Consider the following 18,262-nt stretch of genomic DNA (forward strand, 5'->3'; position numbering starts at 1 on the left):
ACCAAAGATATATATAAAGAAACAAAAAGTAGTTTTTCAACAGAAAGTGAAATGAATCCATAAAGAAGCTCAGAAACACAAGAAGAAATGAAAATCATCAGAAAGGGTAAATATGTGGTTAACTCTAGTTGATTACACAGTATCATTATGATTTTAAAATCTTATGAGATTTAAGATTGAAATATAACAATAATTACCCAAAATATAACAATATAAGATTGAAATATAACAACAATTGCACAAAAAACAGGAGTCCAAGTATCACAGTGTTTTTGAATTACCCAGGAAATAATAGAAGAAACATTTTTAACTGACACTCAAATAAATCAAGGATGCATGTTACAGTCTTACAATCTCTACTGTAACCACTAAACGAACAGTAAAAGCATGTATAACTAATTAGGTGCAAAGGTTAACTGTAAAACTAAAAATAGTTACAATTGATCAAAAACAAAGCTAGAAAGGAGAAAAACAGAACAAAGAACAGATGGTACAAATGGGAAGAACTAGTAAAATACTAGATTTAAATACCAGACTATAACAGATGACATTACATGAAAATGTAAATAATACAAATAAAAGACAAAAGTTTTGTAATCTGTATTTTAAAATTGAAATATATGTTGCTTACATTAAATATATTTAAACATAAGAATAGAGAAAATTTGAAATAAAAGAATCAAAAATTGTATACATTGAAAACACTAACCAAAAAACATCTAGTATAACTCAACTTAGGTAAAGTGAACTTTAAAGCAATAAGTATTTTAGAGATAAAAAGGGAAATTTTGAAATATAAAAGGAAAACTTAACAGAAAGTTTAAATCCTAACTTTTTATGCACCCAATAACACAATTTCAAAACACATAAAGCAAAAACTAAAAATTGACTTAAAAAATAGAGAAATTCACAATCATAGAAAGATTGTAAAACAATTCTCTCAATAAAAATTAAACAAATTACAAATGTGTGAAAAACACAGTTATCAAAATAGACTCAACTTTTCAAATTCACATAGAATATTTTAAAAATTGTTTATATTATGGACGAAAAAGCAACTCTAAACACATTTTAAATGATTTAATGTGTTCTATAACCACAGTGAGATCAAGCAAGAAATCAATAATGATAACTAGAAAATAACTAGAAAATTTCCAAATATTTAGAAATTAAACAATACATGACTAAGTAAATCATGAGAAGAGAAGAAATTACAAAGAAATTGAGAACATACGCTAACTGGATGGCAAGGAAAATACAATGTTTCAAAACTTGATGTATAGCTGACACAGTGCTTAGAGGAAAATTTATAAATGCATACATTACAATAGAAGTAATATTGAAAATCAATTAATTAGAAATCCATTGTAAGAAGCTATCTTTAAAAAACTGCATATGATACCCATAAAAGTAGAAAAAAATAATAAAAATAAGGATAGAAAGCATAATGAATAGAATAGAAAAAGAGCCCAAAGTTAATTTTTAAAGGCAAATAAGATTAATAATTCCCTAGCAAGACCGATAGTGAAAAAAAAGCAGATACACAATATCAATATGAGAAATAAATAATTGTATATTACATAGATGTAAATCTTCATGCCCTTCAACTAGGCAACAGTTTCTTAAATATAACATTAAAAGCAAATAGAACAAGAGAAAAAAATTGATAAATTGTATGTCACCAAAATGTAAAACTTTTGTGTGTCACAGGACATTGTTGAGAAAGTAGAAAGGTAACCCACAGACTGTGAGAACATATTTGCATGTTTGAATGTCATAAATCTGACAATTGTCTAGTGTTAAGAATAAAGGACTTGTGTAAACCAACAAAATAAAGAAAAACAAACAACCCAAATGAAAAATAGGCAAAGGATTTGAATAGGCATTTCTCTAAAGAGGATATACAAATGTCCAATAAGCACATGAAAAGATACTCAATATCCTTGGTCAATAGAAAAATATATATTGAAACCACAATGACCTACCATATTATGCTCACTAGGATGGCTATAATAAAAAAATAATAACAACTGTTGAAGAGAATGTGTAGATTCAATGTATGAAGTCTTTGGAGAGCTCATACTTTGCTAGTAGGAGTGTGCAATGGTGTAGCCACTGTGGAAGACAGTTTTCCAGTCCTCAAAAAGTTAAACATAGAGTTAGCATATGACTCAGTAATTGCATTTCAGGTTATACACCCAAGAATAATGGAACCATATGTTCATACAAAAACTTGTACACCAATTATAGCAGCATAGCACGATAGCCAAAAAATGAAAGCAACCTGTATTAGTCTATTCTCACACTGCTATAAAGAACTACCTGAGACTCGTACTTCTTAATGAAAAAAGAGGTTTAATTGACTCACAGTTCTGCAGGTGTAACAGGAAGCACGATTGGGAGGTCTCAGGAAACTTACAGTCATGGCAGAAGGAGAAGGGGAAGCAAGTACCTTCTTCTAATGGTGGCAAGAAAGAGAGAAAGAGTGAGGGGGATGTGCCACATACTGTTAAACCATCAGATGTTGTGAGAACTCCCTCACTATCATGAGAACAGCATGGAGAATTCCACCTTCGCAATTCAGTCACCTCCTACCAGGTCCCTCCTTCAGCATTGGGAATTCAATTCAACATGAGATTTGGGTGGGGACACAGAGCCAAACTATATCACAACCCAAATGTCCACCCGTTTATGAATAGATAAACAAATTGTGGTGGAATACACACAATGGAATAATATTCAGCCATAAAAAATGAAGTACTGATATAAGCTACAATATGGATGAATATTGAAAACATTATGCAAAGTGAAAGAAGTCAGACACAAAAGACCAAAAACTGTAGGATTCCATTAATATAAAATGTCCAGAAGAGGCAAATTATTATAGACAGAAAGGAGATCAGTGGTTGCCAAGGGCTCAGGGAGGAGGGAATGAGCAGTGATTGCTTAATGCATACAGGTGATGAAAATCTTCTGGAATTAGATAGGAGTGATGGTTGTGCAACATTGTAAATATACTTAAAAATGGATTTTATGCCTTAAAGTGGTTAATGGTTAAAACTGTGAATTTTATCTCATGTAAACATTATCTAAAATAATTAGACCAACTTAAATAGAAATAACCTATTAAGTTTATGAATTAAAGACTTAATGTTTTAAATGTATTACTCCCCCCAATCAATATATAGATTCAATGCAATCTTGATCGGAATTCCAACACAGTGATGTGTGTGTGTTTGTGTGTGCAAATTAACAAATTTATTCTTTGTAGAAGTGCAAATGTCAAAGAATAGCAAAGACAAGGAGAGGGACAGAGTTGGAGACTTTACAATTCCTGATTTCAAGTCTATTACAGAGATACAATAATTAATCTAATGTAATATTAGTGCAAGGATACACAAATTGACCAAAGGAACAAAATAGGAATCTGTAAACAGATTCACACATATGTACTCACCTGATTTACCACAAAAGTGACACTATGATATGATGGGAAAATAATAATTTTCTTAAATTATGATCAATCTATTATATATTCACATAGGAAAATAATGAATCTTGATCCCTATCTCATACCATGTGGAAACTGGCATTTCCATATTGATTGTAGACCTAAATGTGAAAAGTAAAACAATACAGCATCTAGAATATAGAATACTTTATCTTTCATGTAGAAAGGACATTAAACTTAAGTCAAAGTATTGATTAATTATACCTCATGAAAATTAACAAGTCTGTCAGTCCTAGGACAATGTTAGGAAGCAAGCTATACTGAGAAAAATCTTCATAGTACAAATATCACGAAAAGGACCTGCATCCATAATACATAAAGAACTCATACAAATTAATACAAAAGGACAGAAAGTCCAATAAATCATGGGCAAAAGTCCTGAACAGGCTCTTCACAAAATGTTCAATAAGATATGGAAAGCTGCCCAGTATTATTAGCTATCATAAATATGCAAATTTGAATTACAATTCTATACTATTGCACATCTACCAGAATGGCTAAAGTGAAAATGAAAGACAAAGTCAAGTATTGTTAAGAATGTGTAGTAACCAACACTTTCATACACTGCTGGTAGAAAAGTAAATTGGTGCATCCACTTTGGAAAACTCTTTGGAAAACATTTTGGAAAACTGAAAGGCTATGCACATATACCCAACACGCATGTCAGTTCCTCTCCTGGATATATATCTAACAAACATGTACATCAGTGCCTTAAAAGATATGGAACAGATTTTCACAGAAGCGTAATTTTTAACATCCAAACAACAAGAAAAAAGTTCATCAAATGTAGAATAGATAAATAAATTGCAGTGGTTTGAAATAATAATTCTTCATAGCAATAACAAGAATGAGCCCCTGCTACACATGATAACGCCGAAGAATCTCACAGACACAATCTTGAGTGAAAGAAGGCAGATGTATAAGAACACGTCCTACGTAAACTCATTCATGCAACTTAAAAGCAGGCAAACTAATCTACAGTGATGGAAATGAGGATCATGAGCACCTTTAGGGGTTGGGAGTGGTGACTAGCGGAAGTGTGAGGGGGCTTCTGGGTGCTGGTAATGTCTTACATCCCAGTCTTGGCTCTGGTGTATGGGTATGGTCACTTTGTAAAAAAAATTAACTGGGCTGTATAGCTAAGGTTTATGCACTTCACTGAATGCAAATTTTATTTTTAAAACTTCACCATGTAAATATTTTGGAGGAAGAAAACTTGACTTTCACTAGGGAAAAAAATAAATGCCTCTTTCAAAAATACTCCCTGTCTTCATCCATTCAGGCTACAAAACAAACTCCCATAGACTGGGTGGCTTATAAACCACAGAAATGGATTCCTCACAGTTCTGGAGGTTGGAAGTCCAAGTTCCAGGCATAACAAAATTTAGTATTTCTGAGGGCCACGTCCTGGTATATATTAGGTTGGTGCAAAAGTAACTGCAAAAACTACAATGACTTTTGCACTAACCTAATAAATGGTGCATTCTCACTGTGTTCTCAAATGGTCAGAGAAGCAAGGCAGCAAGCCAGTTCCCTTTCACATCTTGAGGGCTCTTCCCTCATGACCTCATCCCCTTCCAAAGGCCCCACCTCCTAATGCCATTACCTTGGGGGTTAAGATTCCAACATAGGAATTTGGAGGAACACAAACATTAGACCACAGCATTTCCCTTCCAACTGACGGACAAAAAGTGACCATCGCAATATAGGTAATTGCTGAGGTTGAGTTTGGCGTATGGTCTATTTATTGATTATTAATTGTTTAATATTTAATCTCTCTACTTATGTGCACATTTAACTTTATTTATAATAAAAGTTTAAGTTATATCAATTATTTGGAAAGTAAAATTTAAAACTCCCTCCCTAATAATTAAAATTAAAAAGTCCAAAGTAATTTGGATTTGCAGACACCAACCTTTAACATCTTCATTTGAAATCTCAGAGAAGAAAATAAATGTGAAAAACCTGCCAACGCCAAATCCACTTATGAACCATCTGATCTCCCCAAGTCCAGAGCTAGCAAGTCTGGAGTGGTATTTCTGGAAACATATGGCCCTGTTCCCCAAGCGAGCATCACACAGCAGTCCCACTGCTTGCTGAGTGTGGATGGCTAGACGCATAATGGCAAAGAGATTCAGAAATAGCGTGACACAGTCCCGAGAAAGCACCACAAATCATTCGCACAGTAGGGCAGAGATTCCCAGGCTCCGAGGCCTGGTTTCCAGTGTCTCCTGGAGTCTTCCAAGGACTGTGAACAGAGGCTGGCCTCGGATGGAATCTGCTGAGGGCTTTGTGCATGTTATTTATGCCCTCATGAATTTCAGATGCCTTGACAGTGAAGGGAAGGGCAGAAAAGTGTGTTCATTCATCAACGTCAGGCGGAGGCCATTACTGTTTTATTCAGTGGAGAGGAAAATCATCCGAAAGCTGGAATTCCAAAAATGTACAAATGCAACTAGAACACAGTGGTGATTAGCCAGCTCTCTAACACCTGTGTGCTGGCAGCTTTCCCGCAGGCGGCAGGGGGAGAATCAGCGCTTCTGCGGGACAAAGGAACGATGCAGCGGTGAGAAGGCCTCGCGGCCCCTTGCAGGGCACCTCTCTTTCGTCACTGTTGTCCTCACGAAAGATGAGTTTCCCATGTGTGAAAGTGTGACAAAAAATAACTCTTGCAGAATGAGTGGCTGGTTTTGCGTGTCTTGTGTGAATTAGAGTTTTGAGGCTCCGTCACTGGTTGTGACTCCGTGGGATTATGGGGGCCACCGATTTGGTTCAAGCTGTCCTCTGGTTGCTTCGAGCTGTCAGGGAGGGTCACCCTGGATCAATGTTGTCCCTCCTGTAATTACTGGATGCATCACATTCCTGCCAGTGCCACTTCAGAGCATTCTAAGCAAGGGTCTCATTTTCAAATAATTCACTTCGCTGTTTCACTCAATAATTTTTCTTTCTCTCATAATCCCAGACCAGAAAAGATTCAGATGCAATAAAATAAAGCCAAGCCCATGACCTCCTCTTGCCATTTGACATAAAGTTGGACCCAAACGCCCAAAGCTTAAATGTGATCCGTTACGAATGTTTGTCAAAAACACACACCTGCCCTTTTCTGGGGAGAACTTGTTGATTTTGTAGACTGCACCTCTAACTTAGATAATGCTGTGGGCACCAAACTTCATTAACAAATTTTCCAGCTGATTGTTTAATGTGACAAACTTTCGCCAAGCCCTACTGTGTGGCAATGAAGAGACCAGATCAAGCCCATGCTCTGGTGATCCTGGGAGCTCAAAGTCTAGTGGGAGGAACAGGCCTTTAAATAGCGCGGTTCAGTGTGGTAAGCTGTTGCAAGGAGCAGCGAGAAAAGACCACGTGTGGAGTGCTGCTTCCAACTTCCTTGCAAATTAGCACAGCGTTTTACCGAGTACCACCGGGAGAGCTGTCATCAAGGACAACTTATCACTTTGTTTTGACCAGGGAAAATTGCTGGTAAGGCATGAAATGTGATCCCACTCCCGCCCCGCAGGCAGCCTTCATCTTTTGGGTTTTGCGTGCTGCCTCCAAAATAAGTAACATTCGGACTCTCTCTGTGATTTCAAGTATTTCCAACTGCTTAGCACTAAGTACCGCACAAAAAAGAGTGAATATGAAGTATCTCAGTTAAGATCTTGACGGAGCAGCAGGAGACGACTCCCACTGCACCACTGCACTACACATACTGCTCCCTAACTTCAGATCTATAGCCCAAGTCCATTTCCATTAAGACCACTGGGGAGTCAAGACAAGTTCAAACCAAGGAGTAGAGGTTTTAAAATTAAAATATAATTGTAGGCCAGGCGTGGTGGCTCATGCCTGTAATCCCAGCACTTTGGGAGGCCGAGGTGGGCAGATCACCTGAGGTCAGGAGTGCAAGACCAGCCTGGCCAACATGATGAAACCCTGTCTGTACTAAAAATACAAAAATTAGTCAGGCATGATGGCTGGCACCTGTAATCCCATCTACTCGGGAGGCTGAGGCAGGAGAATTGCTTGAACCCAGGAAGTGGAGGTTGCAGTGAGCTGAGATCACGCCATTATACTCCAGGCTGGGTACAAGAGCGAGACTCCATCTCAAAAAAAAAAGTATATATATTTGTAAAAACTTATCAGCCTACATTGGCAAAAACTTGACCATACTCATGGACTTGCATAGGGGGTCCAAGTGGAGAAGAAAAGCACACACTTCCATGTCAGGCTGGATTTATTGTTCTGGGTACAAGAGGCAGAGACTCTTGATTCAGTGAACTGTCCCAAGGAGCAGAGTGATTTTAATAATTTCATCAGCAGTTGATTGAAACATGAACTTAATTATGGTCCTTATTTTTTTTTTTTAAGTTGAAGTCCCAGCAATGTCTTGGAGTGAGTAGAATACATAGAATAAGGAACCCAAAGACTTTGAAGGCTGCAGCTTCATCCCGAATAACTGGATCATTGTCTTATAGTCATCCCCTTTCTCATTTTATTTTGTATAAGATGCACTGGTTTTGGTTAACCTTATAATTTTGTCCTAAATTGAAGATATTATAAGTGGATTAAATCTTAACTAGAAAAATAGACATCCCTAGATCATGCCCTTAGAGTTAGTGCGGTAACTGATGAGGCCTGGGGCGTCAGTGGTTCCATGAAGGATAGTTAAAACACATTAGGCAAGAGGGAGAAGGGTTTCTGCACCTCTAAAAAGGCTGACTTTGATGGGCATGGAGTGTTCTTCTCTTGTTTTTTGCTGTTCAACATCCAATCCTCTCTCTTTTTGGGTAATAGTCCCACATGTAATATACTAATGTCTAATTGACATATGTATGTTATACAATTGCATAAAACATATGCAATCATAGAATTGTATAATAATTGTATAAAATAGGATTAGACATTAATATACATATCTGCGCTCCCTACATCTAAAACTGATGAGAAGATCCACCTTTCCTGACCCCAGCAGCCAGGCTTCAAGCTGACTGAGGCTCCTGAATTGGATACCTCTTCCTGGTACTTTTAACCTGGAGAGAAGGCATATTTGGGATTTGTTTAGGTAGGTGTTAGCATCCCCATTGGTCTAGCCATGAAGCCTCCAGCCTTTCTTGAGGTCAGTTGTTTCCACAAGTTTCCTGTTAGCTTTTTGGGTCACTTGTATCATTCTAATAACTTCCTCTTTGTTTAAGTTATACAGAGTTGTTTTTTATTTCCTACAATCAGGAAACTTTGTCTCTGCTGTAAGAACTCAGAGACAACAACAAATAAATGGAAAAACATTCCATGTCCATGCCAATATCATAAAAATGGCCACACTGCCCAAAGCAATTTATAGATTCAATGCTATTTTTATCAAACTACCAATGTCATTCTTCACAGAACTAGAAAAAAACTATTCTACAATTCATGTGGAACCAAAACAGAGCTCAAATAGCCAAAGCAATCCTAAACAAAAAGAATAAAGCTGGTGACATTACACTACCCAATTTCAAACTATATTATAAAGCCACAGTAACTAAAACAGCATGGTACTTGTACAAAACCAGACACATAGACCAATGGAAAAGAATAGAAAACTCAGAAATAAAGCCACACACCTACAACCATCTGATCTTTGACAAGGCCAACAAAAACAAACAATGGAGAAAGGACTCCCTATTCACTAAATGATGCTGGGATAGCTGGCTAGCCATATGCAGAAGGCTGAATCTGGACCCCTACCCTTTACCACATACAAAAATTAACTCAAAATAGATTAAAGATATAAATGTAAATCTAAACCAATAAAAATCCTGGAAGGCAATCTAAGAAATACTCTTCTCGACATTGGCCTTGCCACATAATTTTTGGCTAAGTCCCAAAATGCAATTGCAACAAAAACAAAAATAGACAAGAGGGACCTAATTAAAGAGTTTCCGCACAGCAAAAGAAACTATCAACAGAGCAGACAGACAACCTACAGAACAGGAGAAGATATTCACAAATTATGTATATGACAAAGGCCTAATATCCAGAATCTACAGGGAACTTAAGTCAACAAGCCAAAAACAAATAACCTCATTAAAACATGAGCCAAGGACATGAACAGATACTTTGCAAAAGAACATATACAAGCAGCCAACAAACATATGAAGAAATGCTCAACATAACTATCAGAGAACTGCAAATCAATCAAAACCATGATGAGATATTATCTCACACCAATCTAAATGGCTATTACTAAAAAGTCAAAAAGCAATAGATGCTGGTAGGCCTCCAGAGAAAAGGGAATGCTTATACACTCTTGGTGGGAATGTAAATTAGCCTAGCCACTGTGGAAAGCGGTTTGGGGATTCCCCAAAGAACTGAAAACAGAGCTACCATTTGGCCCAGCAATCCCATTACTGGGTATATACCTGAACAGCAATCCCATTACTGGGTATATACCTGAAAGAAAATAAATTATTCTACCAAAAAGACACATGAACTCATACATTCATCACTGGACTATTCACAATAGCAAAGACATGGAATCAACTCAGGTGCCCATCAATGGTAGACTTGATAAAGAAAACCACCATGGAATAATATGCAGCCATAAAAGAGAATGAAGTCGTGTTCTTTGCAGGGACATGGATGGAGCTGGAGGTCATAATCCTAAGCAAATTAACACAGGAACAGAAAATCAAATACCGCATGTTCTCACGTGGGAGCTAAGCATTGAGCACACATGGACATAAACAAGGGAACAATAGATACTGTGGACAACCGGGGTGGGAGGTAAGAAACTTCCTATCAGGTATGATGCTCACTACCATGGTGATGGGATCCATATTCCGAACCTCAACATCACGCAATATTTTCATGTAACAAATCTGCACTTGTACCCCTGTATCTAAAATAAATGTTGAAAAAAGAAGAAAAAAAGAAATTTTGTCTAACAGACTTTAAAAGAACCTTCAGAGGAATCAAGCTGTCTTATTTGCTGTGTGTCCTCGGACAATTCACTTAGCCTCTCTGGGTCCCAGGTTCCCTGGCTTTAGTAGAAGAAGCGGAATTGATCTATCCAGTTCCCTAGCATCTCTAAAATTATGTGAGCCTAGATTCTCAGCTATATAAAAGTTTAAAATATAAAATATAATAAAATTTCAAATACATAATTTAAAGAAAAGAAAATGCAGAACAATTATTTTTATGGAGAATCATCTGTGCAGTCTTCATCACTTCTGACATTGGGAGAAACTTTTCCACATGCCTAGATTCTATGAGACTCACCAGAAGTCACGAGATGCTCTTGTTGACTGAAAAATGCATGCAGGGGTCATCACTGTGCCTGTGAAGGGGGAGTATGTGTTGACATTACAGATGTGGAGTTGTTCTTAAAAATACAATAACCAAAACAGTAATATTCCCTTACGTTTCTACAATGCTTTCAGTTTCCAAAACCATTTCACATCCATTATCTCATTTGATTCTCACAACAACCCTGTGAGTCATTATCCCCATTTCACAGCTGAGAAACCAAGACTCCAAAAGGTTAATTCACTTGTCCAGGGTCACCTAACTAGTAATTGGCAAATTCTCAACCAGGACCTAAATCTTCTGCTTCTAACTGTAGTGGCCTTTCTGCCCTTTGTAGATAGAATGCCTGCGGATCTCTTCTCTTTGCTTTCTCATCACTGCAGAGTAGGTGTTGCATTCCTTCATATTTTGCTCTTTGTGACATTCTCATGATACCAACTATCATGATTTGTATTGTTTTCCTTTCCAAATATAGTCCAATCCCTTTCCAACAATGCTTTGCTTAATCTACCTGGATTACACAAGGAACTAAAACCAATATTTCCTTTCTGATTTAACATAATCTATTTTATCCATTTTTAAAAAGAGATTATTCTGTAGAAATGGCATGTAAATCCACAAAATAAACAAAGTCACTTTCCTCTGGACTCTAGACAAATAACCTGAAAATAATCCTGGCAAGATTGTGTTTGCAGAGCTAAAAAGTGCTGAGAAAAATAAATAAATAAATAACTCACAGTCTCTATAGCAGTTCCCCTTCTTCTCCTCCTGTTCATGGATGTGAATTTATGACTTTTCTTCCCAGGTCAAAGTTAAATGAATTCATCAGTAGAACCTATAATTAATATGAGTGGTTAATTCTAAGGCTTTCACTGCACAATCTCAGTGACATTTTGCAGCACTGAGGGTGGCCATTAGGAGAAAATGTGCTCACCAATGAGTGCATACTGAAATTAGCAATAAAACATTTGTCTCTCCATTTCACATACAATTTGGCCTAAGAAGAATAAGACAAACAGACCCTCTATGGCAGGGCAGTCCCTGAAAATTCCTCCACAACCCAAGAGTATCCAGGCTTTGAGGAAAATACATGTTTCACCTGTCTTTTGAAAAACTCAGTACATTAATTATCCCAAAATAGAGAAACTAAGAGAAATTAAGCATGCATGGTTCATATGACAATGAATTTCATTATACAAAGATTCCAAACAGCACGTTACTAATTTCCAAATTTTAAAAAGAAAAAAAAAGACACTCTGAGATATATATATTTTTTTTTATGAGGCCATGCACGTGATAAAAACATAGATTAGGCTATGAATATATATTCCTTTACTTTTAAAATTAATTGTGCATACAGACAAAATTTTTACATTTCAAGGGTTGAGTTACATAACCATACAACCCAGGGCATATTTTTTTAACTTTCTAAATAAGAAATTAAAAATATTTTCTGATCTCCCCCTCTATGCCATCAAAGTGTTGAGCCAATGATTGATTCAACGTTCAAAGGTAGATAATATTTTTATGTATATAAAGTAAATTTAGAAAAACAGTTACTTCATTCATTTACTCATGTACCCATCCTATATTGTGAAGCCCCATTAAATGCCTATGTCAGTTGCTAAGTTTACAACTTTGTCTGGAGAATTCTGTGATTGGATGTCTAGAAAGTTTTGCTCAAATGCTTATGTGAGAAAGATCACTTTGGCAACAGGCTGATGGGTGGCCTGGGAAGTGGGAAGACTGGAAACACGTGCTGGTGGGAAGGCAGTATCTAGAACCCTCAAAATACATAGTTCAGTCTTTAATTCAAGTAACGTTGGTGAGTTTAAAGAGAAATGAATGGACTCAGGAGTTATCAGGGTTCTGGAATGAATGAGGCCTGTGACTGAATTTTGGAATTTGAGAAGAAGATCCCAGATGAAAGATGATTTTGAAGTTCAGGATGGCCTAGATAGCCACATGGATGGTGGTGTCATCCTTTAGGAGGGAAACACAGAAAGACAAGTGGGTTTGAGTGAGTTCAATTCAGGACACGTTGAGGTTCAGAAGCCTGGAAACAGGATGGGATATTAAAGATCCTCAGTCTAACACAATAAGTAGCTCAGGAGTCCAAGACCAGCATGAGCAACCCAATGGGCCCCTGCCCCACCCCTGGCGTCTGTAAAACTACTTAACCAGGGGCAGTGGCACATGCCTGTAGCCCCAGCTACTAAGAAGGCTGAGGTGGGAGGATCACATGAGCCCAGGAGTTTGAGGCTGCAGTGAGCTATGATTGTGTCACTGCACTCCAGCCTGGGCAAAAGAGCAAGACCTTATTTTTTAAAAAGGTAACAAGTATAGATGAAGATGTGGAGAAAAGAGAACCTTGTACTTTGTTGATGAAAATATAAATAAGTACAGACATTATGAAAAACAGTTTGGTAAGTCCCTCAAAAAATTAAAAATAGATGGGTGCAGTGGCTTATGCCTGTAATCCCTACACTTTGAGAGGCCAAGGCAGGTGGATCACTTGAGGTTAGGAATTTGAGACCAGCTTGGCCAACATGGTGAGACCCCATCTCTACTAAAAATACAAAAATTAGCCAGGCGTGGTAGTACGTGCCTGTAATCCCAGCTACTTGGGAGGCTGAGGCAGGAAAATCACTTGAACCAGGGAGGCAGAGGTTGCAGTGAACCGAGATCGCACCACTGCACTCTAGCCTGGGAAACAGAGTGAGACCAACAGAGTGAGACTCCGTATCAACAACAACAACAAAAATAAATAAAAATAAAGCTACCATATGATTTGGCAATCTCACTACTTGTTTTATATCGAAAGGAATTGAAATCACTATATCAAAGAGATACCTGCACTCTCTCATGTTGCCTACAGCATTATCCACAATATCCAAGATATGGAATCAACCCAGGTGTCCACCAATGAATAAATGAATAAAGAAAATGTGGTATAGATATACAATGTCATACTCTTCCGTCTTAAAAAAGAAAAGAAGAAAATCCCGACATTTGTGGCAATATGGGTAAATTTGGAGGACATTGCTATAAGTGAAATACGCCAGGCACAGAAGGACAAAGACTTCATGCTTTCACTTACATCTGGAATCTAAGAAAGCTTAACTCTTGAAAGCAGAGAGCAGATGGTTACCACAGGATGGGGTAGCAGGGAGGTGGGAAGATATGGAAGTGAGAAGTTAGGGGTCAAAACAATGTTTTAGTTAGACAGGAGGAATAAGTTTTAGTGATCTATTGCACAGCATGGTGACTACAGTTAAAAATAATGTAGTATAAATTTCAAAATTGCTAAAAGATTAGATTTTAAATGTTCTCACCACTAAAAAAAATGATAAGTAAGGTGAGGATAAGTTAGCTAGCTTGATTTAATTATTCCACAATTTATACATATATCAAGAAATCACATTTTGCCCCATAAATATATACAATTATTTGTCAATTTAAAAAAAAATCAGAAGACTCTTGCATCTCACTGTCAACTCCTTCTAGCATAAAATAACCCAAGAGGTACAACACATGGGGAAATTGGAGAGACAGTAGAGGAAGAAAATGTCTGCCCAGCCACAGAGGAACCTGAAGTTCTTTTCTTTTTTGTTTTGTTTTTCTTTTATTTTCTTTTATTGTGGTAAGAACACTTAACATGAGGTTTTCTCTCTTAAATTTTTGTGTACAATACATTAATTTTGGTTTTGGGTTTTTTAAACTGTATTGTATTTTTATTTCCATAGGTTTTTGGGGAACAGGTGGTGTTTGGTTACATGAGTAACTTCTTTAGTGGTGATTTGTGAGATTTTGGTGCGCCTATCACCCGAGCAGTGTACACTGCACCCAATATGCAGTCTTTTATCCCTCAACCTGCTCCCACCCTTTCCTCCAAGTCCCCACAGTCCATTGTGTCACTCTTATGCCTTTGCATCCTCATAGCTTAGCTCCCACACTTATGAGTGAGAATATATGATGTTTGGTTTTCCATTCCTGAGTTACTTCACTTAGAATAATGGTATCCAATTCCATCCAGGTTGCTGCAAATGCCATTATTTCATTCTTTTTTATGGCTGAATAGTATTCAGTGGTGTGTGTGTGTGTGTGTGTGTGTGTGTGTGTGTACATATAACATTTTCTTATCCACTCATTGATTGACAGGTATTTGGGCTGGTTCCATATTTTTGCAATTGTGAATTGTGCTGCTATAAACGTGTGTGGAAGTATCTTTTTCGTATAATGACTTATTTTCCCCTGGGTAGATACCCAGTAGTGGGATTGCAGGATCAAATGGTAGTTCTACTTTTAGTTCTGTAAGGAACCTCCACACTGTTTTCCATAGTGGTTGTAGTAGTTTACATTCCCACCAGCAGTGTAGAAGTATTCCCTGTTCGCCATACCCCAGCCAATATTTATTATTTTTTAATTTTTTTTAATTATGGCCATTCTTGCAACAGTAAGGTGGTATTGCGTTGTGGTTTTGATTGATAGACCATTACTGAGATTATGAAGTTGGTTTCTACGCAGCACTAGAGTACTGTGACCACGCTGAACCCTTGCCTGCACCTCTTCACTCTGCTCTTCATGTGGAACTAAGGCCCCTGTTCACAAGTGCTCCTCAGATTCAGAGAGGCTGGGCAGAGGGAATGGGTTTTGAAATAAGACAAATCTTGTGTCAATGAAAAGATGTACCACTTTCTAGCTCTGTGATTTGGGGAATTATTTCATCTCTGTGAAACTCAGATTGCTTGTCTCTAAGACAGATATAGTATCAGTAACATGATGGCCTGTTATTAAGATTAAATGTAAAAATGAATATAAAATACCTCAAAACATGCAGTATTAGTTAACTATTGCCAAAAGAACATTGCCTAACAAACCATCCCAAAACACAGTGCCTCGAAACAACAACCATCATTACTGTTCCTCAGTCTGTGGGTCAGTTGAGTGGTTCTGCTGGTCCTGGCCAGGGTCCCTCACACATCACACATTTGGGGTTAGATGGTGTTGACTGGCCAAGGATGGCCTGGGCTCTGCTCCGTGTGGTCTCTCTTCCTCCAGCATGCTGGCCTGGACTTGTTCTCATGGTCAAGGCAGAGGCATGAAAGGCTTCCTGAGACCAAAATCCAGAATGGGAATACTGTCATTTTCATCATTGCTATTGATCGAAGCAAGTCTTAAGGCCAGCCCAGAATTCCAGGGGTGGAGAAATAGTTTCCATCTTTTGATAGAAAAAGATGCGAGTAACATTAACAAAAGCATGTGCACGGGCTGGAGTGGAGAATTGAGACCATCAGAGAAACCAGTGCAGCACATGTGCCGGGCTCATGGGCATGCACATGGCTCTGCAGAGCTTCATCCCTCCCCTTGTCACCTCAGGCTGTTAACAGCCAATTACAAAAAACAAACCAATCCATGCATTCCTTTTCCCCACATGTCTTCTGACATAAGCAGCTTCACCAAAGTTACAGCAGGGGAAATGGCACTGAGAAGTGAAGATATAGACAAAAAAGTCTCCTGGAGATAGCAGAACCACAAGTCCTCGACATTAAAACTACAGGTAAAGATCACAGACTACTTCATGTTTGGACATTATTATTTTTCCAGCTATGTTCTGTAATTCACTAAATTGCTATTCTTTTTTTTAAGAGAATCCTTCTCAGTTATTACCTCTTTGTCTAGAGAAAACTTTATTTAGAAGTCCCCAAAATTAGGTCAACTATCTTATCCCAGCAAACACAATGGAGACTTTAGAAACATCATAGAAAAGAAAGAAATTCGAAGCCACCTTTCCAGCTAGGAATAAGAAGCTGGGAAGAAGCCTTCAAGGCACCACTCTGGACAGAGCAACAAGACAAGAAGCTGACTGACTGGGGCTTTTGCTTTTCTAAGAGGAAGAAGCATCTGCTGGAAGGCCCCTTGGTCCCTAGGCCCTGCCCTCCAATTTCTTCCTGGAATGCAGACAAGATGGCTGAGGTTGCAGCAGCCATGTTGAGACCATGAGGTGACAAGCATGAGGATAAAGAACCATCAAGACAGGAAACCCAAAATCCAGGAAGGCATTGCACAGCAGCTGCACTACCCCATATTACTCACCTTTGACCTGCTGCTCCATGAGAAAAGCCACCTCACTTCATTACACCACTGTCACTGGCTATCACTCACAGCTGGGCCCTTCCCTAACCAGTAAGATAACAGCTATACTTCTAGGTTGTTATATGCTTTAGATTTAGAAATAATATGCTTAAATCTTATGTCCTTAAAAAGTATGTTAGCCTAAATTAGGTATTTTTTTACAAATTAACAAGTAAAATTTCATTCATGGCCTTTGATGATTTCCAGCAAAAAATAAGCTTCATTGCTAGTCTATTATGGCCAAAGTTAACATTCTTTTAAGTTATTTCTCTCCAAATAATTTTAGAGCCTCCAAATATTTTTGTGGATGTACTTACTATGGGAAACCTACACTTGAAGAAATGATAAGATAGAATGCAAAAATTAGCAGTCTGACTCAATTATCTAAGAAATCATATGGAACTTAGGACAGGATTTCAGGGGAAATAACAAATATATGTATATATAATATATTCATAAATCAAACATAAAATTAAGCTTATTAGTTCATAGGCATATCTTTCCCCTGAAATTTTATCATGGGAAGTAAACTCCTTTGGAATTAAAAGTAAAATACAAAAAAATCAATTGCTCTGAAAATTAAGATGAAATTGCTATCCGCACCATCCTTAAAAAGCTCATAAGATACTATTAATTTGTAATGTTGGTCTTATCACATCTATTAATATAATATTAAACAAATGTGGAAATTCTGCAAATGTTAGAAACCTTAACAATGCTTATACACTGGCATTACAAATACAAAAGCAGAGGGGAAGAGAGGGAATTTGGCAGTAAGAAAATTAATCCTCTCGTCTTTCATAGCCAGAAGTTGAAGACATCTAAAATTAAAACATGGGATTAGAAATATAATAATTCCAATCTCATTGAATGTTTCATAGTTTCTGTAGCCTTAGAATACTATGTTAGGATATTTAGGATACTAAGCAAGATTTGTGGATATCATTTCTGTTCTCTTCTAGGTTGCTTGATTCTTTTTCTAATATGTATGCTTTTTTGTTTGTTTACCTTTAAGCTCTGTTGGACTTAACGTATGTATTATTTATATAAAAACGGTAAAGTATTAAAATTTTTAAATAGAAATGTAACTTCTATGTTAGTCTGGGTTCTCCAGAAAAAGCAACCAATAGGAGATAAATATACATATTCATATATACATATACATATACACACACACACTAAGAGGCATATGTGTATGCATGTCTATGTGTGTGTGCGTGAAGGGGGGGAAGCGAGATGTACTATGAGGAATTTATACATGATTATGGAAGCCGAGAAGACCAAGATCTGCAGTCAGCAGGCTAGAGACCAGGAGAGCCAATGGTGTATGTTCCA

The 18,262-nt window shown here is 37.4% G+C and overlaps 1 long non-coding RNA gene across 1 annotated transcript in view; it reads right to left on the reverse strand.

Moving 5' to 3' along the window:
- Positions 1–18,262, reverse strand: part of LINC01250 (long intergenic non-protein coding RNA 1250) — a 230,979-nt gene that overhangs the window by 60,001 nt on the left and 152,716 nt on the right. The window contains exons 4-5 of the long non-coding RNA NR_110228.1: positions 11,530–11,627; positions 10,766–10,823 (exon numbers count right to left, since the gene is read on the reverse strand). This is a non-coding gene — a long non-coding RNA (long intergenic non-protein coding RNA 1250). The remainder of the gene's footprint in view (positions 1–10,765; positions 10,824–11,529; positions 11,628–18,262) is intronic.

Source organism: Homo sapiens, chromosome 2, assembly GCF_000001405.40.
Source record: "Homo sapiens chromosome 2, GRCh38.p14 Primary Assembly".
Lineage (NCBI taxonomy): Eukaryota > Metazoa > Chordata > Mammalia > Primates > Hominidae > Homo > Homo sapiens.